Below are 24,166 nucleotides of genomic sequence, written 5' to 3' on the forward strand. Positions count from 1 at the left end.
GTCTACAAATCTCATCCTACAGTCTACGAATCTCAGTCCACATATTTCAAATTCTTACTTTCATGTCCAAGAACTGTGCTTAGTTGCTGTGGCCTAAGCTACATGCAGAAGTTCCAGCAGTCCACAAGAAACTCTGTACGACTGACCTGAGAAACCCTAACCCGGACTGAACTGAAAAAACACTTGGCATATTTTGCTCCTGAAAGCCAGCCAACCACAGTGTGAGTAACGCGCTTTAGCAACAAGCACGCTGCCCGCTATTCAAGAGGACTGGAATCTGAATTCTACGACCCGGATGAGGGAATCCCCATTTTTTTCAAATTCTCACTTGTTACAAAAATTATTGGTGCCATTCAACCCACAGCTTCTAAGACATTGGGGCATGAAGTTTTCATCTTCTGAAGTGGGATGACACTTAGTCACTCACCTGCTCTTACAAAGGCCAACTGTTAAGTGTTCCTTAGAATTTATTTAAGCTTCCTCCATTATGTATGTCTGAGTCACAAAAAGACAGTGACATCTATTTTAAGTTCAAAAATAATTTGCTAATCCAGAAAATAATGTCAAGTTTGATGAAATAAGATTGCTCATCAGTTCAAACGGTTGAGGCAGGATAATGGGTTCATAGGAGTTCCGTATAAGATTCTATTTTTGCGTACATTTAAAATTTTCCACATACATGTTGCAAAGGGATTTGAGGAACATTTTGTAACTCAAATCAATATTCATCCATAGGTTTTCTCCCAGTAAGAAGCATTTGTTTTTAAAACCAACAATGAAATGAAAGACTTCATAAAACAAAGACACTGATTTTGGCACAACAAACAATAACTGTATAAATCCTACTGTAATTTACTATAACATTTTACTAAAATAACATTGAATTCTGAAAAAAATTTCTAATTGCTATGTATTTTAAAACTGAAGTTCTATTTAGAGCAAGTTTTAAACAATTAAAAATTTAATCCCAAGTACAAAGCTTGACATGCAATACATATTTACTGAATGAAAGATCAGCCAAGGCATCTTTCCTCATTAAACTGCAACTATTTGTTAGCTTAAACACAAAGAAAGAGATGAATAATACCTAGCATTCAGATCTTGGTTCTAATATCATTCTCCAATAAAAGGAGCAAGGGCTTCTTAGAAAAATGTTTGACTCTAGGGTTGAAACATGGAATATACAAAATGAGCCTGGAGCATCCTGCAGTGCCAGAAAGTAAGGAAGTATCAATAGCAACAACAACAACAATCACAAAACAAACAAACAAACAGCTAAGCATGGTGGCTCATGCCTATAATCCCAACACTTTGGAGGCTGAGGCAGGAGGATCACTTGAGCCCAGGAGTTCAAGACCAGCCTGGGCACATAATGAGATGCTGCCTCTACAAAAAATTTAAAAATTAGCTAGGCATGCTGGTATGTGCCTATAGTCCCAGCTACCCAAGAGACTGATGTGGGAGGATTGCTGGAGCCCAGGTGGTAGAGGCTGCAGTGAGCCATGACTGTGCCTGGGCAAGAGAGCAAGACAATCTCAAAAAGAAAAAAAAGTTCTGGGAGCCAAGATGGCCAAATAGGAACAGCTCCAGTCTACAGCTCCCAGCGTGAGTGACGCAGAAGACGGGTGATTTCTGCATTTCCATCTGAGGTACCGGGTTCATCTCACTAGGGAGTGCCAGACAGTGGGCACAGGTCACTGGGTGCACGCACCGTGCCCGAGCCAAAGCAGGGCGAGGCATTGCCTCACTCGGCAAGCGCAAGGGGTCAGGGAGTTCCGTTTCCTAGTCAAGGAAAGGGGTGACAGACGGCACCTGGAAAATCGGGTCACTCCCACCCGAATACTGCGCTTTTCCGAGGGGCTTAAAAAACGGCGCACCAGGAGATTATATCCCGCACATGGCTCGGAAGGTCCTACGCCCACGGAGTCTCGCTGATTGCTAGCACAGCAATCTGAGATCAAACTGCAAGGTGGAAGCGAGGCTCGGGGAGGGGCGCCTGCCATTGCCCAGGCTTGCTTAGGTAAACAAAGCAGCCAGGAAGCTCGAACTGGGTGGAGCCCACCACAGCTCAAGGAGGCCTGCCTGCCTCTGTAGGCTCCACCTCTGGGGGCAGGGCACAGACAAAACAAAAAGACAGCAGTAACCTCTGCAGACTTAAATGTCCCTGTCTGACAGCTTTGAAGAGAACAGTGGTTCTCCCAGCACGCAGCGGGAGATCTGAGAATGGGCAGACTGCCTCCTCAAGTGGGTCCCTGACCCCTAACCCCCGAGCAGCCTAACTGAAAGGCACCCCCCAGCAGGGGCAGACTAACACCTCACACGGCCAGGTACTCCAACAGACTTGCAGCTGAGGGTCCTGTCTGTTAGAAGGAAAACTAACAAACAGAAAGGACATGCATACCAAAAACCCATCTGTACATCACCATCATCAAAGACCAAAAGTAGATAAAAACCACAAAGGTGGGAAAAAAACAGAGCAGAAAAACTGGAAACTCTAAAAAGCAGAGCACCTCTCCTCCTCCAAAGGATGGCAGTTCCTCACCAGCAATGGAACAAAGCTGGATGGGGAATGACTTTGACGAGCTGAGAGAAGAAGGCTTCAGACGATCAAACTACAAGCTACAGGAGGAAATTCAAACCAAAGGCAAAGAAGTTAAAAACTTTGAAAAAAATTTAGACGAATGTATAACTAGAATAACCAATACAGAGAAGTGCTTAAAGGAGCTGATGGAGCTGAAAGCCAAAGCTCGAGAACTACATGAAGAATGCAGAAGCCTCAGGAGCCGATGCGATCAACTGGAAGAAAGGGTATCAGTGATGGAAGATGAAATGAATGAAATGAAGCGAGAAGGGAAGTTTAGAGAAAAAAGAATAAAAAGAAACGAACAAAGCCTCCAAGAAATATGGGACTATTTGAAAAGATCAAATCTACGTCTGATTGGTGTACCTGAAAGTGATGGGGAGAATGGAACCAAGTTGGAAAACACTCTGCAGGATATCATCCAGGAGAACTTGCCCAATCTAGCAAGGCAGGCCAACATTCAGATTCAGGAAATACAGAGAATGCCACAAAGATACTCCTCAAGAAGAGCAACTCCAAGACACATAATTGTCAGATTCACCAAAGTTGAAATGAAGGAAAAAATGTTAAGGGCAGCCAGAGAGAAAGGTCGGGTTACCCACAAAGGGAAGCCCATCAGACTAACAGCGAGCGGATCTCTCGGCAGAAACTCTACAAGCCAGAAGAGAGTGGGGGCCAATATTCAACATTCTTAAAGAAAAGAATTTTCAACCCAGAATTTCATATCCAGCCAAACTAAGCTTCATAAGTGAAGGAGAAATAAAATACTTTACAGACAAGCAAATGCTGAGAGATTTTGTCACCACCAGGCCTGCCCTAAAAGAGCTCCTGAAGGAAGCGCTAAACATGGAAAGGAACAACCGGTACCAGCCACTGCAAAATCATGCCAAAATGTAAAGACCATCGAGACTAGGAAGAAACTGCATCAACTAACGAGAAAATAACCAGCTAACATCATAATGACAGGTTCAAATTCACACATAACAATATTAACTTTAAATGTAAATGGACTAAATGCTCCAATTAAAAGACACACACTGGCAAATTGGATAAAGAGTTAAGACCCTTCAGTGTGTTGTATTCAGGAAACCCATTTCACGTGCAGAGACACACATAGGCTCAAAATAAAAGGATGGAGGAAGATCTACCAAGCAAATGGAAAACAAAAAAAGGCAGGGGTTGCAATCCTAGTCTCTGATAAAACAGACTTTAAACCAACAAAGATCAAAAGAGACAAAGAAGGCCATTACATAATGGTAAAGGGATCAATTCAACAAGAAGAGCTAACTATCCTAAATATATACGCATCCAATACAGGAGCACCCAGATTCCTAAAGCAAGTCCTGAGTGACCTACAAAGAGACTTAGACTCCCACACAGTAATAATGGGAGACTTTAACACCCCACTGTCAACATTAGACAGATCAACGAGACAGAAAGTCAACAAGGATACCCAGGAATTGAACTCAGCTCTGCACCAAGCAGACCTAATACACATCTACAGAAATCTCCAGCCCAAATCAACAGAATATACATTTTTTTCAGCACCACACCACACCTATTCCAAAATTGACCACATAGTTGGAAGTAAAGCTCTCCTCGGCAAATATAAAAGAACAGAAATTATAACAAACTATCTCTCAGACCACAGTGCAATCAAACTAGAACTCAGGATTAAGAAACTCACTCAAAACCACTCAACTACATGGAAACTGAACAACCTGCTCCTAAATGACTACTGGGTGCATAACGAAATGAAGGCAGAAATAAAGATGTTCTTTGAAACCAACGAGAACAAAGACACAACATACCAGAATCTCTGGGACGCATTCAAAGCAGTGGGTAGAGGGAAATTTATAGCACTAAATGCCCACAAGAGAAAGCAGGAAAGATCCAAAACTGACACCCTAACATCACAATTAAAAGAACTAGAAAAGCAAGAGCAAACACATTCAAAAGCTAGCAGAAGGCAAGAAATAACTAAGATCAGAGCAGAACTGAAGGAAATAGAGACACAAAAAACCCTTCAAAAAATTAATGAATCCAGGATCTAGTTTTTTGAAAGGATCAACAAAATTGATAGACCGCTAGCAAGACTAATAAAGAAAAAAAGAGAGAAGAATCAAACAGATGCAATAAAAAATGATAAAGGGGATATCACCACCGATCCCACAGAAATACAAACTGCCATTAGAGAATGCTACAAACACCTCTACGCAAATAAACTAGAAAATCTAGAAGAAATGGATAAATTCCTCGACACATACACTCTCCCAAGACTAAACCAGGAAGAAGTTGAATCTCTGAATAGACCAATAACAGGAGCTGAAATTGTGGCAATAATCAATAGCTTGCCAACCAAAAAGAGTCCAGGACCAGATGGATTCACAGCCGAATTCTACCAGAGGTACAAGGAGGAACTGGTACCATTCCTTCTGAAACTATTCCAATCAATAGAAAAAGAGGGAATCCTCCCTAACTCATTTTATGAGGCCAGCATCATCCTGATACCAAAGCCGGGCAGAGACACAACCAAAAAAAAGAATTTTAGACCAATACCCTTGATGAACATTGATGCAAAAATCCTCAACAAAATACTGGCAATAAGTGATGGATAAATATGTAGGGGTGTATCTAAGCAATGAGCTATTACTTAGATATAAAAAAGAATGAATTACTGATACACACAAGAACATGGATGAATCTCAGAGTAATTATACTTAAAGAAGCCAGACAAAAGGGAGCACACATTGTATGATCACATTTATATAAAATTGTGAAAATGTAAACTAATCTGCACTGGCAGAAAACAGATCAGTATGGTTAATGAGGGTAGGAAGGAGTGGAAAGAGTAGATAGATTACAAGGAGGCAAGAGGAAACATCTGGAAAATGATAGATATGTTCATTAGACTGACAGAGGTGACAACTTCCCAGGTAAAATATGTCAAAGCTTATCAAATGTTATGCTTTAAATATGTACAAATTGTTGTACATAAATTATACTTCCATAAAGCTATTAAATAAGTATCCTTCCAGAGACAAGAGAAAACAATTGACATGCAAAATAAGAACAGGATGAAATAAAAAAGGAATATTAACAAAACCAAAAAGTGAAGCTCTTGAAAACTAAAAACATCAGCGCAAAAGCAGAAGGATTAGAAGATGAAATTGAGGAATCTTCTGAAATATAAGACAGTAACACAATCAGAAGGAGTACAGGAGAGGAAATGCAAGAAATTTAGAGGACCAAGAAATCCAACATCTGAATAACAAAAGTTCAAAAAAGTGAGAACAGATAACTAAAAAGGAGAAAATCAATAACATAATTCTGAAAAATTCCCACAACAAAGAATATGTGTTTCCAGATTCAAAGAGCCCACCAGGAACCCCACACAATGACCAAAAATAGGCCTAACCCAGCACATATCCCTATAAAAATTCAGAATGGGATTTCAAAGATAAGACTGTGAAATCTTCTGGAGAGCAAAATAGTTTTACAGTGGAAGAACCAGGAATCAGAATGGCTTCAGATTTCTCAACAGCAACATTGAACACTGGAAGCAATCTTTCAAAATCTTAACAAAAATGATTCTCAACCTAGAATTCTATACTTAGCCAAATCATCAATCAGATGGGAAAGCAGGATGAAGACATTTTCAGAAATGCGAAATCTCTAAAGGTTAACTTTCCATCTAACTCTCTGAAGAATCTACTTGAGGATGTGCTCCACCATAACAAGGATATAAATCAACAAAGAGCATACATGAAACCCAACACATAAGAGATGCAGCACAGTTAAAAAAAAAAAAAGGCAAAAGATCCCCAAGCTGATGGTGAAGGGGATCCAGGGTGACAGAGATGCACTAGGCCGCAAGGAAAGTCAGCACAGATTGAAACAGGATAGAAATTTTCTGGCCAAGGATAGTGCAAGGCTCTGTATTCACAGCCACTTTTCTCTCCAGAATTAAATAGACAGTCATAATGCAAATTATGAGAGTCATCATTTTTATTGACGAAATCCATAATGATGACAGTGTGTGGATGACACTGAATAATGAGAACATGAAGTACCACATTTCACTGATGATGAAAACACTTTTTCCACATTTTAACATCTCTGAAATCAGGATACATTCTACAACTGAGAGAGTATCATAGTTTAATGGGCTGCACAGTTTTCTGTCTTAGTGGGACCTCTTATCTTGGGTTCGGTGACATATGGTATGTCCCTTGCATAAAAAGTTACACTCAAGTTTGGAGGCCCTTTTAGTCATCGTGTTGGAAAGAGCCTTCTGATTGCCACAGGTTGCAATACGGAAAAAAACACAGTGTCCCAAACAAGAAAAAAAGGTTTCTCTATAAACATATAAGCTTGAATATGCACAGAATATCTTTGGAAGGAAGTTCACAAAACTGGTAACTAACTCTAGTTATGTCTGGGAGATGTCTGAAGGGAACTACTTTACCTATTTACCCTTTTGCTCCTTTTGAATTTTGTACCATGAGCATGTTTTACCTACCAAAGAATGAATACAATTTTAAAATACCTGAAATAACTAAGTAGATTAATGTATGAAAACATTTACAAGGAAGCCTAAGAATCCGGGCATTACATGAGATTTGAAGATGACTTTGAATTGGCAGACTGTGATGTAAGAATTTCCTTTTATTCCAATTGTTACCAAAAACAACACTAACCTCTCTTAAGGTCTGCACATTTTCTTTGGATTGGTTATAACCTCTCTAAACAAGGGTCAAGTTGGGAAAGTTGATGAATGGAAAATACACACACACATAAACACACATCTATTATTTTTTAATTATTTTGAATTGTGTCGTGAAGTATCATTATCTATTTAGTGTCCCAAAAGATGTGATAAAGCCATTGATCAAAACAGACTCAAAGATCCACAGAAAAGAGTGACTGTTATAGCAACAAGCCAATGTAGCCTATATCTACTGATAACGTTCTTTCTACAGCCATTTCTACCCCACAACCCTGAACAGCTGATGTCTCTTGTGGGCAAGGTTGAGGCAGTTCCCTGGGAGAAGTATAGAGTTAGGAGGAGACAAAGAAGTTGGATTCACAAAATCAGTGGTCAAAAAAAGCTCTTAAATATTACTGCAGAATCTCCACTGTGTGCATTTCAAGTAACCCCAAGAATCTCAAAGGGGCCATAGTTGCAGCAGGCTGGGGAGCGGTCAGGGATGGAATGAGTTGGAAATCATTTTATATATCTTGTAGAAGCACTGTGAATAGTTTCATCTTGCCATTTGGGCTTGCAACGGCTTTGCCCTATACTAACATTCCAAAAATGTTGAAAATTCTGGACATTCTCCAAGGTTCCCTGGACAGGTTTATGGAGGCTTCCTTGAAGACATCTGTGTCCTCTCTTTATACGCAGTAGGAAGCTGCAGTTTTTAAGTCCCCTTGCCCTGGGGACATCATCACTATGCCAAGATGGAGAAATGCCTGAGCAAGAGGAAATGAAGTATCTTGGATGTGCCTCTTCGCAAGTGCTTTCTCAATAAACTCAAGTAAAGCAGTTGTCACCACAAAGGAAGCTGCCCATAGGTGCTCTAAAGATAAAGTAATGCAGTGATGCAACTGTCAGGATGTTAGAAGAAGCTCTTCTAACAGATCACAGACCCAGTGATTGCCTTTAACCAGAACTATTGCAATGGCTCCCAACTCATTTTCTGCCTTCAATCTCCTTCCTCCAATCTCATCTCCACTCAGAAGCCAGGATGAGCTTTCTAAAATATAAATTGTATTGTCTTTTTGCCCTCTTAAAACTCTGCAATGACTCCCCAACAGGATTAAGTCTACTCCTCATGGCAAGACCCACAAGGCCTTTCAGAAATTATTCTGAATGGGAAACTGGCTTTGCTAACTAATCATTGCCAGGAATTAAGGTAACAGATTAGAAAATCTATAAAAAGTTACAGTCAAGGAATTTAGTAATACCAAGACCCCATACTTCCTTTAGATACTTGGATGGGCATCTCATATCAGTTATCTTCTGATGGACTATATTAGGGAATCCCATCATGCAAAGCTCCGTATTTCAATAGAGTTACCCAGAGACTTTATTTGGCCAATATATAAATCTTGTTGCATATTCCTGGTTGGGGGCCGGGGAAAGGCAAGGAGATTTCAAGTTAGAACCATGGTAGCCACGCTACATGGAGTAGGACTTCGGGGTCATAATCATCTTTGTGTCTGTACCATGAAGTTTTTGAGGAACACTTTCCATAGGCACGAGGTTGAGATAGTTAAGACAGATCCATGAGCCATGAGGACAACAACACTAAAGACTAATGCATTGAGGGTGATGGAAGATTTGGAAACCAGACATGGTGTGGATCTAGAGTAGCTGTAATTAGAGGACATCTAGGTGGAAAGCAACTGGAGAGAAACTCAGAATAGGGAAGCAGGTTTGGGAAGGCAGCTAAGGAGAAGCCTTTCTCCTAGGGAGTCAGCCTATTTGACAATTAAAGGCATGGGGCTTGAACTTACTCATTCAAGGGGGTTTACTGCATAAGCACCCACTATGTGAAAGACACCATGTTGGGCCCTGGGAGCACAGATATACCTGCTTAAGCTTAGGAATGCATTCTAGGAAATGCAGGTGTTGAATGGATCACTGCCACATACTATTACACATTCCCTCTAGAACTGGTTCCTAATTTTGTAACCTGCTGCTACGGTGTTTTCAATTTAAAGCTAGAAGTCATAATGGACCTGCCACCACGATATGGTCCAATGACTGACAATCCTTGGTCCTCCCAGGCTATGATGCTGTTGATGCCCCTCCATTCAAAGGCTTCCCAGTGATCCCTGAGCACTGAGTTTCCTCCTCTGTTTCCTTCATCAATTCCATGAAGGTGCCCTGCGTCAAATCATCACAAAAGCCACATTTATCTCCCAACCTTAACTTCTTCCTTGATACTTAGTTGTTTCTCCCAGCCATGCCTCTTGCTTACCTCTGTCCACCCTCAAGGGTGAGAACTTCTCAGAAGAACACAAAATAATGGCAGAAAAAGAGATTCCAATTAGATAAACAAAGTGAGATGAACCACAAAAGTGAGAAACATGGCAACCAAGAATAGATCATGCCCAAGCTACTGTATTTGCCAGTAAGCCACAAAGAAAATTCATATTGTCTCTACTCCATGTTACAATGAGTCTTTACATAAATTAAATTTTTTTCTGAGAAAAATAAAGTACAGTCTGAGTGACATCCTTAAAGAGTTTTACAAGTTTTCCCCTTCTCTATGCATCAGTTTCCTCATCTGTAAAATGAAGTTAATAATAACCACGACATTGTCAAAAATTAATGAGCTAAATGATGCAAAGCACTTAGTTACGTGCCTGGCACTGAATGGGCACTCACTGAATGTGAGTGATTAATACCATCCCCATGTTTGATACTATAAGGCTCCAGTGATCTGGCTAGAGGGAAGGGAGGGAATTCTCAGAGGCAGCCCAGACCCCCAGGGAATGGCCCCCAGGCTCCAACTAGAGCTCTGGTGTCTATTCTAGAAAAGCTCCGGGAAGTTTTGTGCATAGACCTTTTTTTCTCAGGGACCACATAGCAATAATCACTGGACTCTCGACAGAGTACTCTGAAGCCATGGCACTGCTTTCAGACCACCCCTTCCATTTGCATTGCCTCTTCAAAAGAAACCTGCAGTCAGGGAGCTGCAAACAGCTCCTACTTTCAGAGAATGTTTTGGTCCCTAACCAGCCTCCAACACAGCCTGTCCACATCCAAGGCTAGAGAGAGCAGGGCAAGGCAGGCACTTAGGAATCACAGAGACTCGGGTCTGCACTTAGTAGCTCAGGGGCCTCAAGCAAGTAATTACTCCTCACCCCAGGTGGCTCCATCCGCTGGACTAAGGGTCACCTTCCCAGCTTGTCCTCAGTAACCAGCCTTTTATGACATAGGCCAGTGACCTTGAGACTGTGGAACTCCCAGCTGTCACAGCTGGCCACAGGCCCAAGGCCACTGTGTGCAAACCTCCATCTCGTGGGTTGTTCATCAGCTCCTGAACCTAACTGCAAATGGTGACACATCCCCACCATCAATACATTTATAATTCACACTGTTTCAGAGCCCTTTAACGAACATGTTCTCATTTGTCTGTTCTCGTTTCTAACGGCAAAACACGATACGTAACCATCATGCACAGAATACTAACACAAGTGACTCCTTGCGTGAGTTTAGTTTGCAACACTGTCCAACACACAGCATTCAACAGACTAAGCACTTATTTTCAAGTTACTAATTTTTAATTTACGAAGCCCTTATGTGCAACATGACAGTGAGCAAGAGAGGTACAAAGCTGAACCCCCAGTCTCTTGAATATGAGGGGAAGCTGGGAAGATATCAACAGGTAAACATGAACTTGTATACAATGTTTGAAGGAGGAGACAGGACAGCAATGTGGCTGAACACTGGGACTGTGGACTCAGATGTCTGAGTTCAAAAAGTAATCTCAGAAAATAAGGCTGGGTATAGTGGCTCACACCTGTCACCCCAGCACTTTAGGAGGCCAAAGTGGGAGGATCACTTGAGTCTAGGAGTTCAAGATGAGACTGGCCAACATAGTGAGACGTCATCTCTATTTTTTTAATCATCAAAAATTATTTTTAATGATCTATCAACTTACAGCCCAATTAGGGCTTCCTTCAATTATGTACGAACCACTTGACTTGGATAAGGACTTGTTACCCAGTCATTTGAACTGTTCACTTGCACATGGATTTATTATCTAATCATTGTTCACAACCTCAGTATTTCCATTTATCCTCTGTTGGAGCCCTGGAAATTTATATTACATGATGCATCGTATTCAGATTTGGGATGGCTGAGACTCTGCCTTTCTTTTGTTACGTGGGAGAAGGGCTCCTGTGGAAAGAGAAGACAAGGAAAGAGAATTTGCTTCATGCCCCCTTTGCAGGCAGATCAGTTTCAGGACAGCCTGTAGGAAAACTGAGGATCTTGAAATTGAGCCTCACAAATCTATCCATGCCCCCAGACCAAGTCTGCTTGTACCTACCAGTGTGTAAGTACCCCATGTAGACTGCTGTTCCACAGGATGTTGAACTCACAGAGATGTTAACACTTTTGCAGAGGATGGATTTGCTTGAGTTTCCTTTCTGGTATAGTGGCTTTTACTTAATGTGCTGCTCTGTGCTAAGTGCCTTACAGGTAAGGTCTCACCGAGTCCTTGGAACAACCTTAAAAGGGAGGAATCATTATCCCTATTTTGCAGATTCAGGGGTTAAGGGAAGTGGCAGCCAGCAAGTACCAAAGCTGGGGTTCAAACCCAGGGCTGTGAGAATTGCAGAGCGTGAGCTCTTCAGCCACTGTATTAAACTGTACCTTGCTCTAGGTACCGTGAGCATGGCTCTTCATACCAGCTGTTGCCTGGACTGTTGTTGCTGCTGTTGCTGCTGCTGCTAGTGGTGGTGGTTTTCTCTTTGTCTCTTTCTTGGCAAGTTTCTCCAAAGCACTGGTTCTCAAACTTTGGTGTGCATCAGGATCAGGTGAAGGCTTTGTTAAGACACAGATGGCTGGGCTGCACATCCAGAGTTTCCGATTCAGTAGGTCTGGGGTAAGGCTGAGAATCTGCATTTCCAAGTCCCCAGGTCTGGGAACCACACTTTGAGAACCATTTCTCTAAAGAATGCCCAGCCTCATGGGAGAGATTCTTTTTTCTAATGCATTTAGGGACTGGTTGTTGTTGTTGTTGTTGTTTTATACTTTAAGTTCTGGGTTACATGTGCAGAACGTGCAGGTTTGTTACATAGGTATACATGTGCCATGGTGGTTTGCTGCACCCATCAACCTGTCATCTACATTGGGCATTTCTCCTAAAGCTATCCCTCCCCTAGCCCCCAGCCCCCCGACAGGCCCCATGTGTGATGTTCCCCTCCCTGTGTCCATGTGTTCTCACTGTTCAACTCCCACTATGAGTGAGAACATGCAGTGTTTGGTTTTCTGTTTCTGTGTTAGTTTGCTGAGAATGATGGTTTCCAGCTTCATCCATGTCCCTGCAAAGGACATGAACCCATCCTTTTTTATGGCTGCATAGTATTCCATGGTGTATATGTGCCACATTTTCTTTATCCAGTCTATCACTGGTGGGCATTCGGGTTGGTTACAAGTCTTTACTATTTTGAATAGTGCTGCAATAAACATACATGCGCATCTGTCTTTATGGTAGAATGATTTATAATTCCTTGGGTATATACCCAGTAATCCCATGTCTATTTTTTTTTTAAAAAAAGGAATTTTAGGAAACAAAAAGAAATGAGTACTAATGCTACATGCTACAACTAGGAGAATTAGAAAATATTATGCTAAGTGAAAAAAGCCAGACACAAGAGACTATACATTGTGCCAGTCTATTCATATGAAATTCCAGAATAGGCAAATCCATAGGGATAGAAAGCAGATTTGCAGTTGCCAGGGCTAAGGTGGGGACACAAGAATAGGCGGGTGATAACTAAAGGGTATACCGTTTCTTTTTCAGGTGATAAAAATATGCTACAATTAACTGTGGTGATGTTGCACAACTCTGTAAATACACTAAAAATCACTGACTTGTACACTTTCAATTGGTGAGTCATATGGTATGTGAACATATCTCAGTTAAGCTATTTTTTAAAGGTAACTTTGGGCAAATTATTTAACTTCGCCAAGCTTCAGTTTCCTCATCTATAAAATGGAGATGATGATAGTGGCAAATTTCTAATTCTTGTGAAAATTCATAGGAACAACTTTGTAAAAAAAGCGCTACATGCTTTGACCACTATTGTCTTCAGCTGTAAAAGATCAGAGGAGTATTTCACAAGGTGAAAAAGGTGGAAGCAACCCGATTTTCCATCAATGGATGAATGGATAAACAAAACGTGGTATACACACACAATGGAGTATAGTCAGCCTTTAAAGGGAAGTAAATTCTGACATATACTTCAATATGGATGAACGCTGAGGACGTCACGCTGAATGAAATAAGCCAGTCATGAAAAGACTGTATGATTCCACTTATCTGAGGTCCCTAGAGTATTTTATTTCATAGAGACAGAAAGTGGAATCGTGGTTACCAAGGACTGGGGGAGAAGGGGAGAATGTGGGATTAGTGTTTAATGGGGACAGAGATTCAGTTTTGCAAGATGAAAAGAGTTCTGTGGGTGGACAGTGGTGATTACTGCACATCAATGTAAATGTACTTAATACCTCGGAAATGCACACTTAAAAATGGTTAAGATGGTAAATTTTATGTTATATGTATTTTATCACAATCTAAAAAAGAATAGAATGGGGAGATGCAAGAGCTAAAGAAAGAAATGTCAGTGGGAAGGAGGGAGAAATTTGGAGGTGTCATAGGACAAAAGATCAGGAGCTAAGCCCCAGCGGGGCAGATTCACACAGCAGCCGGGCACCAGCAGTCCCAGGATAGCACCCAGCACACCAGAGAGACCCTAGCACTGCCTCCCAGGAGTGTGCTGGCATCCTGCTCTGCCATCCACACCGCCACCCACACCAGCCCATGGAACAAGACGCACCAGCTCAGAGCTCAGGTGTGGGAGGTGGGAGCCAGAATGAGTCATAGAAGCGCTGCTCTCAGAGAGACAGAGAGGTCACTGCCTTACTCCCTGCCAATCAGGGAAACTCCCCAAAAACAGAAGCCTCACACTGGGGACCTGCTGTCCACGGCAGGCCAATTACAGCCCAATTACCTGAAATGCTGATCTGGGCTATACCAACAAAGCAGCCCAAGTCTGTGGAGCACAAAGCTGAGTCACGTACATTGATGCCCAGGATGAAACGACTTGGGGGCAATGTCACTGTCTTTGCTAGGGTCTTCCCCATGTGGCTGTGGAGGGTGGTGGGTGCCAGAGGAGGGGACGGGTGCAGAGAGAAATTACAGAAGACAGAAAAGCTACTTACAGGTCTCTAACTCAGAAAAAGAGGCTGACTAAATCGGGCAGGATTGACAACCACATGGACAAGTTTGTCAGTTCAGTGTTCCTTGCTAACCTTGCTCTGTGGAATGAGCACGTCCAGGAAGATGCACCAAAAACCAGAGTGGATGAAACTTGCCACTTGTTTTCCCCACTAAAACTTCCATCATGTAGCCCATGATCCTACTGAGATATATTCTCATTCTTTATTTTCACTTCTACGGTGGAGGAGGTTGTGAAGTGAGTATAGAAACAGCCAGACATATGAACAGACATATGTATTTGAGAACCATTTAAAAGGCCTAATTCAAAAGTACAACTATGACCACCCACCCATCCAAGTTCTGTAGTACACAAAATTTCAGCATTAAAAATTCAAGCCTGACATTCAAAACCATTATTTTTAATATCAGTTTAGAACTTCTAGCCAATGCAATAAGGCAGGAAATAAAAATGAGAAGTGATCTATACAAAAGAATCTCTAAAATATTATTTGCATACACAGTCATATATCTTCACAGCCCAAGTGAATGAACTGAAATACTTTAGAATGAATTTAAATATTCAGAAAGATGTGTAGTTCCCAAATACAGATCTAATCAACAATCAGTAATAACCAGTGAGAAAATATAGTAGAAAAAAAGTCTATTTATAAAGGCAACGAAAATAGAAAATGCTTAGAAATATATTTAATGAGAAATGTGCAGGATTAAATGAAGCAATCCACAAAACTTAACTGTGATACACTAAAAAAAAAAAAAGAGGTTTTACCAAATAGAGACACTTCTATATTTGTGGATGGGAAGTTTCATTACTATAAACATGTTAATTTTTTCAACTTAAAGCAATTTCAATCAAAACCCCATCTGGATTTTTTAAACTTGACAAGTTTATTTTAAGTAAATAACAAACAGGAATAGCCCAGAAATTTCTGAAACAAACAAACAAAAAAAGAATTCAAGACTTCTACTGCCAATTATTAAAAAATAAAGCTACAATAAGGTAGTAAGTAAGCATAGACAAAAAACCAAATTGCATAAAAAGCCCAGAAACATATATATACATAATATATATATAACATGTACTATATAAGATGTGTGTATAAGAATTTTATATATAATAAAATGGTATTTTAGATTCTAGATTCAATAAAGTGGGATTGGGACAACTGGTTAAGTAAAGGGAAATTATAAAATGCCTACCTTATATCATTAACCAACATGAATCCAATTTACCTCAAGAATTAAATGTAAAAAAAAAATGCACACACACACTTGTGATTTAGAGACAGACAAGGTCTAGGCTTACAGAAAAACATAAAAGCTTTTATTAAACATTTTAAATTTTCATATATCAAAAAGTGTCATAATCTAGGTTTTAAAAAAACATTATGGGGAAAATATTTGCAGCATAGGTGGTAAAGTTATTTTTAATACTGAAATGAATTCTATGATCTAAGAAACAGATGAACATATTAATGGAAAAGGTCACGAAAAAGAAGTGTGTGAGGGTAATAGATGATATCTAAATAAAATAAATAAAACAAAAGATATTTAAACAAACAACAGATATTTAAATTCACCAGTAAACAAATAAAAGATATTTAAATTCACCAGTAATAAAAGTATTGAAAAAAATGAATTGGCAATTTTCACAAAATTGGCAAAAATTAAATAATCGCCCAGCATTGGCAGATGTTCAGGTAAAATGGGCATTCTCATACGGGGGAGCTGTTAATGTTGGACTAATTTACAACATTCCTGAAGGACAATTTGGCAACGCCCATGAAAAACCTTTGAAAGAGTTACATGTTTTGGTTAGTAATTCCACTTTCAGAAAACAGCCTAAGGAAATAACCAGAACAATGTGCAAGGTTTCAACATCACCACGTTATGGGAACCATGTGCACTTACTAGGCACAGTTCTATGCTTCAAATGGATTGTGTATTTTAACCCTTTAAAAAATAAGAAACAGATCCTAATGTAATCTCTACTTTTACAGATGAGAAAACTGAGATATACAGAGATCAAGAATCATCCAAGGTCACACAATACGAGGTGGGGTCAGAATGCAAACCCAGGCAGTGTGCCTACCTAGCCCAGACTCTTAACCACTAAGATGTCACTAAAGAAGCATCAACATCAACAGGAAACACTTTAACACTACCTAATGTCCAACAACAAGGATTGATTAAACACATTCCAGAATATTCACTTGACAGAATTAATGGATGGATGGGATGGATGGATGGACTGACAAATGGATGGATGGATGAATAAAACAGTGGGTGGGTTAGGGGATGAACGAGTGGATATATAAATGGTTGAGTGGGTAGAAGGGTGGAGGATGGATGGAGGATGGATGCATGGATGGATGGATGGATGGATGGATGGATGGATGAATAGATGGATACACTAACGAATGAATAGATGGATGAATGAAAGAGTAGGTGGGTTGGGATGAATGAGTGGATATATAAATGGGTGAGTGGGTAGATAGGTGGAGGATGGATGGAGAATGAATGGATGAATGGATGGATGGATGGATGGAGGATAGATAGGTGGATGGGTAGAAAGGGTGGATGAATGGGTAGGTGAGTGCATGGATGAAGAGATGTATGGATGGGTGACAGGGTAGGTGGGTGAGTGAGTGGGTGGATGGATAGATGGATTGATGGATAGATGGGCAGATGGATGGACTGACAAATAGACAGATGTAAAATGAAAGACTGGGTGGTTGAGTGGATAAATGAGTGGATATATGAATGGGTGAGTGGGTAGATGGGTGAAGGATGGAAAAAGAATGGATGGATGGATGGATGGATGGATGAATAAATGAAGGACAGATAGGTGGATGGGTAGATGAATGGGTGGATGAATCGATAGGTGAGTACAAAGATGAATAAATGTATGGATGGGTAAGAGGGTGGGTGGGTGGGTAGGTGGGTGGATGGCTGTATGGAGGGATGGACCGACGGACGGACTCATTGATGGTCTAAATCACAAAACCTTCCTTTGGTAGCATGTCGTCATTTTTGTTTCCACTTACATGTATTGAACATCAACTTCATGGTAGGCAAACCTCCAGGTTCCATGTTAAGCCCTCAATAAAACAGGAAACAATTACACAGCAAAACCCAATACTTCTGCTCCCAGAAGTAAAACCTTAAATGGTAAGCGCAGACATTGTGAGGGAGCCCTCAAACCAGAAAGTGTTATCTTCTTAAGTTCTTAAAATCTCTTCGTTTTATAAAATAGAGAGAATTCAAAAGAAGTCACAAAGTGTGAAAGTCTTTATTTGCAGTCTAAATCTCAAGGAACCACAGACAAAAAGCCCCACAGCTGTCTGCAGTGATTCATCAGCTCTAACAGAAGTAGCAGCACTTCAACCTGGAACTGGGGTGTATGAATGGGTCAGGAGAGATGTTTCTTAAAACTTGTGTAGCCACAGGTCTCACCTACATCCCAGTGAAGCGGGATTGGCATTAGCCCCCAGAAACCCCAGACATTGTGAGCTCTATCTTAATTTGTTGTCATCTTAATGCAAGTAAGATTATTTTCTCTGTTTTTTGTTTGTTTGTTTGTTTGTTTTTTGGGGGTTTTTTTGCCCCTTTCATCTCAGTCCATCAAGATTTTCTATAATATATATCAGTTCAAATTGTTTTAGTATTTTTTTTAATTTAACCCCTTCAAAATCAATTAAGGATGAAGATAAGTAAGAACTGAAAGCAACATCCTGGTCTCCCCAGAAGAAATGGTGCTGATAAAGTGCCTGAACACAGGCTTGGCACCCAGTAAGTGGTAAAGAGATCACTTAGTGGTTGCGGTGGTGGTGGGACTGTACTATTCCTCCTGCCTCTTCTGCTGCTTCTGCAAAGGGAAAAGGGAACCTCCCTACTGGAGTGAGTCATATAGACACCTGATACTCATTCATTCATTTATTCACCCATTTAATATGTTCAAAACCCCCAGGAATTAGGTATCATTATTCCTGTTTGGAAAATAAAGAAACTGAAGCACAGAGAAGTTAGAGCAACTCATCAAAGCTACACAGAAGCAGCAAAAGACTGAGATCAGATCAGTGTGATTCTAAGTCCAGAGACGCAGAAAAGGCAGGAGCCCTGGGGAACACACGCTGGGTCTGGTTAGCACATGTGTACTGCTGACATCCTGCTCCCTAGGCCTGCTCCTCTTTGCCTTTATTTTCACCTCCCCATTCCCTAAGCAACTCTATTAACCATAGCACAGCTCTGGAAAGCAGAGATTTCTTTCCCCTTCACACATTGCATCCTTTAACACCAGCTTTACACTGACACCATGAAGATATCCTTTCTGCAGGAAGCCCTGTTCAGACCTCCTGACCTGAGAAAGCAACAAGGTGATGACCAAAAGAAGGAAAAAAAGAAATTAGCATGTAGGAGCACCCTATAGAAGGTACTTTATTTCCATCATTTTATTTAATCCTCCCAACAACCTTACAAGAAAATGTCATTGTCTTCAAAATACAGGTGAAGAAACTGAGGCTCTAGGAGGTTAAGCAACTTGCCCATGTGATAGGTAATATTCCAGCTCTGTAAGACCTACAGTCAAAGGCCATATAGGGGTCTCCACCAAACTAAGGTTTTAGTGGCATGGGTCAACACAGCAAAGGAATTTTCTGGTCAAGCTCTCTTCCAGTTGACAGAGGAACAGAACGGTAATGTTATCTCTGTGACAGCTGGCAGCATGTCCCCCAGGAGAAGGAAGTGGACAGTCCTGGATCCCCACCCACAGTCCTCCTGCAGTGAGCTCTGCAAGCCTAGCAGTAGGAACCAGTGCCACTGAGCCACCTGTCTCCCCTAGGCCTGGGATGCCTCTGTAAACAGAAACCTAAGGGTCTCTCTGATGCCACAAATGTGAAAAACCCCTGACCTACAGGGTGAGTGACAGATACAGGATGACGAAACCATGGTGCTAGAGGCCCTCCATCGAGGAAGTGCATTCACAACACTTTAATCTGCAAAACCACTCCCCCACGCTGGGGGCAGGTGCTGCTAGCACCCTGCAAGTTCAACAAACCAATCAAGGTGAGAGGTTCAAGCAAACTGCCCGAGGGTCCCCCAGCTAGAATGCAGGGGCCTGAGGGTTTTTAACTGAGACCTTCTAACTCCAAATCCCATGTGCTGTCCATGACACCAGCCAACCTCTTCTGTGTCACCTGAGCAACTGGAAAAGCCGATCACCATTCCCTATGACAGCCAGTGACCATGCAAACAGGAGCCAAAAGAAACACATAAATACTCAAATACCCACAGCAACAAGCAGTCCAGTAGACTGGAATCAAGAGTGCCCGCAGTACATAATCCCAGCCTGACACTTACTAGCTGTGTGGCCTTGAGAAAGCCACCAGACCTTTCTGTGCCTTCAATTCCTCATCCCTAAAAAGAATATAAAAACAGTACCCCCTTCATGGAGTTGGTGTGAGGATTAAAACACTTCAAATGATGGCTGTGTACTGTAGGAACACAGTGAGTAAACGTCAGCTGTTATAATTATTGTTGTTATTACTACTACCACAAAGAGATGACAGTGCGCAAGTTATCAACCTGGAGCAAGAGGTGATTTCTGCCCTAGATTTAGCTTTTGGTAGCAAAATACCACAATGATAGCATTGCTCTGTGATGCCTCTGGAGAAATTTGGAGTCAATTCAATCCTCCCTATGACCAGGACAGCTTGGAAGGGTTTCTCCAGCGACCTTCCACTTATGTTGTCCCTCTTGACCCAGAAGACAGGGAAGGGCAGGGGGTACCAGTGACACCACTGGTTCACCCACAAGAAGTAACACGTGGCCGCGACCCAACTACACAGCCCTGTGACTGTCAGGATACCCCCTCCTGCTATCAATCAGCAAGGCTGCTGCAGGCAGAAGGTAAAGCTCGCACTTGTCTCTGTATTATCCACACACAGGTCCTTGGAATGTAAAGAGTGGATGGAAAGGAAGCAAACCTCAGAAGACTAGCTCTGTTCCCGAGACCTTCCTTCTCCCCTGGGCTCCAACAGGTACCTGCACAAAATGCTGGGCTGTACCTGCGTGAAAATAAGGGCAATTACTCCCCATTCCCATGACAATCCGCAAATGATGGGGGACTAAAATCCAACTCTGTCTGAGCAAAAGCACAGGCTGAGAACATAATAAATTGATACCAAATTATCCTATCCTGCTGACCCAGGGAGATCTGACTTTATAATCCCAAGCGCTATGAATTCAGTAGTGAATTGTGCTGTGGGAAGAAAAAGGCTTCTTTAGACAAGCTCGAAATGTTCCATTTGGCACCGACTCCAGTAGTGACCTCTTGTTCTCTTCTTACAGCCAGATTTCTAAAGTGTGAATTCTGAGCAATTTTCCTTGCATCCTCTCAAGTATTCTGGAATCTTCTGACTGTTCTAAATCAGTACTGAAGACAGGAAAAGTAACCCCAAGAATGTAGGGCAAAGGAAGCCAAGTGCCCAAGACAGACTGGGAATAATTCCTGGCTCAGACAGCCCAGGCGGGATCTTCCCTTAACAACTAGACAATCCAGGAAAGAACACTACCAGGTAGCTTAGAAGGCCCCCTTTTGCAGGTGTGAGGGTGTGGGGCAGGGGGAGGGACACCAGTGAGGCTGCAGGAGGTTCTCCAGCAATATGGCACAACATAGAGACCACTCACTAGGACACTGTGCTTTTATCATAACCCATTATTGTTGGCTGAGCTTGCTTAAAAAACTGAGCAGACTTTAACAACTTGCAGACTTCACTTAAAGTCCAGATTCCCAGCTTCTCTTCTCTTTAAAAAAAAATTAATAGAACTGCAAATCAGCAGCCCTAGGACTATATTCCAATATGGTAACAACTGGCTGGATTTCAAAAGCCACTACCTCTCCTGGGTTTGCCACAATCCCCAGTACTCCCTGTTGTGTCCCCAGAGCTGAGGGTTGGCTGCCATTTATCATCATCTGTGTGCTGTCAGTTTTCTTACGGCATAGAAATCTCTCTCTGTACTCAAAAGAAAATCAGCAAAACAAAATAAAACAAAAGATAGAAAGGCCAAAATAAAACAAAACAAAATTTCAAGAAAATTAGGGAAAGGCCCACCACCTGTCGATGTTCCTTATTTGCATGAACCACCCCATAGTGAGGATCTCAGCATCTAGCATCTGAAGAGTCTGGGTTCAAATCCCAGCCTGGCAGTTTCTCGGGAGGGAGGCCTGGGGTAGGTATTTAACCTCTCCAAGCCTCAGAATTCTCATTATTAAAAGGAGAATAAAAATACCTATACCTCATAGGGTTAGGGGAAGGATTTAAGAAGATATCGCATGCAAAGGACTAGACACAAGGCCGGGACCTATCACGTGCTTAATAAATCTAGACACAAGGCCTGGGCCTATTACGTGCTTAATAAATGCCAGGGATTGTTGTTACCAATGTTGTCGTGAATAGTGGTAGTGGTGGTGAATAGTAGCTGGTGGGAATGGGGTGGCAGCTTCCCCTCTGGAGTGTCCCTTCTAGCATCAGGATTGAGCTTCGTCCCCTTCCCAACTTCTGAGGCCAGAGAAGCAAGTACCAGACAAAAGAGTCACAGCCACAACCAAAAGCTATCTTCACAGACCCCTCTAGAACCACTGAGTAAGTGCCCTAGTTTCTTTGCCTTGCAGCCACATACACCCTGCCAAGTCTCATCTCCATTTCCTGCACACACCTATTTATGGCTTCCTCTGGTCCTTCTGATTGGAACCCTTCCTACCTCTGCCCACCTGGAAGCCCTTATTCACATCTGAAGACTCATTAGACACCAGTACCACAAAACCTTTCCTGAATTCTCAGGCAGGATTCTTGAATCCATTCTATATTTGTTCATTTTCTCCACTAAACCATGAGCTCTTCAAAAGCAGGGCACAGTGAACTCTGTGACTCCAGCCTCCACCCCAGTGACCAGAATGTTACACACAGAGAACACCAGTTCAGCCATGGAGCCAGTTCACACTCACAGGTGATTCTGGGAAGATTAAATAATAATAATAATAATAATAATAATAATAATAATAATAATAATATAAAGAAAAGAGCATAGGCTTGGGGCCAGAGGTGTAGGTCTGTGCCCTGGCTCTGCCTTTAAAACTCAGGTGGGTGGACCGGGCGCGCTGGCTCACGCCTGTAATCCCAGCACTTTGGGAGGCCGAGACAGGCAGATCACGAGGTCAGCAGGTCGAGACCATCCTGACTAACACGGTGAAACCCCATCTCTACTAAAAATATAAAAATATTAGCCAGGCTTGGTGGCAGGCGCCTGTAGTACCAGCTACTTGGGAGGCTGAGGCAGGAGAATGGCGTGAACCTGGGAGGCGGATCGCGCCACTGCCCTCCAGCCTGGGCGACAGAGCAAAACTCCATTAAAAAAAAAAAAAAAAAAAAAAAAAAAAAAAAAACTCAGGTGGGTGATGTAGAGCTATTCACTCAACACTCAGAGCCTTGGTTTGCACAAATGGAAGACAGGGTTAATAAGAAATATTTCTGAAGAATTCTTGTGAAGAATAAACAAGATAACTATTAGAAAAACAACCCAATGCATTATTACCAGCACCCCTCACCCACCATCTGGCCCAACACCACAACCACCACCAACAACAACCTCATCCTCATCTCTACCCCCAACTTAACAGTTGATCCCTGTCCTTGAGCTGCCCTTGTCTCTCATTCTTCTTATTCCCAGTTCTGTCATGAGAGGTCAAAGGGACCCAGTTTGGGCATGGATACCAAATTAGCTCACCCTGATATAAATCAATCCATCAAAAAAAGAAAAGTCATAGAAGGGGCTAATTTTACATTCTTTCTGTACATGGTTGAATATTACCATCGAGAACATTGAGGATAGAAAAATACAGTCAAAATATAAGGTTAAAGCTTAAGCTGTAAACTGGATATACACTGTGGTTCTAACTGTACCTAAATAAAATATATATAGCAAAACAGAGCTAAAGAAACTTGACCAAAATATTAAGAGTGGGGAATGATTATGGGAGATTGTTGTGTGTGTGTTTTATTATTTATACTTTTAGTTTCCAATTTTCCTCTGGTATTCTTATTTTAATTTATGATTTAAAAAACAACAGAACACAACTGAATACCTAGCAATGTCTTATTTAGGGCAGTTAATCATTTTTAAAATTGTTGAAAACATATAAAAGTTATTGAAAATGCATAAAGCAGTTGGTCACCTGCCTATGGTAGTCACAACTTTTCACAATAACAAATGCAAAACATGGTCTTTTCATATATGCCTGGAATATTTACCGAAAAATTTTAACAAGTCCTAGTCCACTAGAAATACTCAATAAATACCAAAACCCAGAAATTAACCCCCTATTTAGTCTGTCCAGAAAACAATGAAAAGCAAAATCAACAGCTAAAAGATTACGCAAATTATTTATCTTAGCAAAAAAAAATTGCTAAAAGATAAAGTCTCAGACACCCCAATAACTAACTCTTGGCTAAGGAAGGTAATCCAAATTATCAGCTACCTACAAAATAAGGACAACAACTCCAACACATACCAAAACTTAAGAATTCAGCTGAAGCTGAGTTCA

The 24,166-nt window shown here is 41.4% G+C and overlaps 1 protein-coding gene across 3 annotated transcripts in view, besides 3 other annotated features; it reads right to left on the minus strand.

The window, feature by feature from the left end:
• Nucleotides 1-24,166, minus strand: part of CDYL2 (chromodomain Y like 2) — a 207,131-nt gene that overhangs the window by 127,626 nt on the left and 55,339 nt on the right. The window contains exon 1 of one of the 3 annotated variants that reach the window (XM_011522867.3): nt 10,460-11,145. The exons of the other annotated variants lie outside the window; for them this stretch is intronic. Within the exon in view, the coding sequence (XP_011521169.1) occupies nt 10,460-10,474 (15 nt within the window). The 5' untranslated portion in view covers nt 10,475-11,145. Of the gene's footprint in view, nt 1-10,459; nt 11,146-24,166 lie in introns of those variants that run through there. 3 annotated transcript variants of the gene reach the window in all.
• Nucleotides 1,393-1,893: an enhancer, noted in NCBI's record as "H3K4me1 hESC enhancer chr16:80760822-80761322 (GRCh37/hg19 assembly coordinates)". NCBI's record gives its function as "activates a minimal SCP1, AML or CMV promoter by ChIP-STARR-seq in naive H9 embryonic stem cells {active_cell/tissue: H9 hESC(naive)}" and the evidence as "EXISTENCE:reporter gene assay evidence [ECO:0000049][PMID:30033119]".
• Nucleotides 1,894-2,394: an enhancer, noted in NCBI's record as "H3K4me1 hESC enhancer chr16:80761323-80761823 (GRCh37/hg19 assembly coordinates)". NCBI's record gives its function as "activates a minimal SCP1, AML or CMV promoter by ChIP-STARR-seq in naive H9 embryonic stem cells {active_cell/tissue: H9 hESC(naive)}" and the evidence as "EXISTENCE:reporter gene assay evidence [ECO:0000049][PMID:30033119]".
• Nucleotides 14,135-14,294: a silencer, noted in NCBI's record as "silent region_7743". NCBI's record gives its function as "represses an Ori minimal core promoter by ATAC-STARR-seq in GM12878 lymphoblastoid cells {active_cell/tissue: GM12878}" and the evidence as "EXISTENCE:reporter gene assay evidence [ECO:0000049][PMID:35858748]".

This window comes from Homo sapiens, chromosome 16 (assembly GCF_000001405.40).
Source record: "Homo sapiens chromosome 16, GRCh38.p14 Primary Assembly".
Classification (NCBI taxonomy): Eukaryota; Metazoa; Chordata; class Mammalia; order Primates; family Hominidae; genus Homo; species Homo sapiens.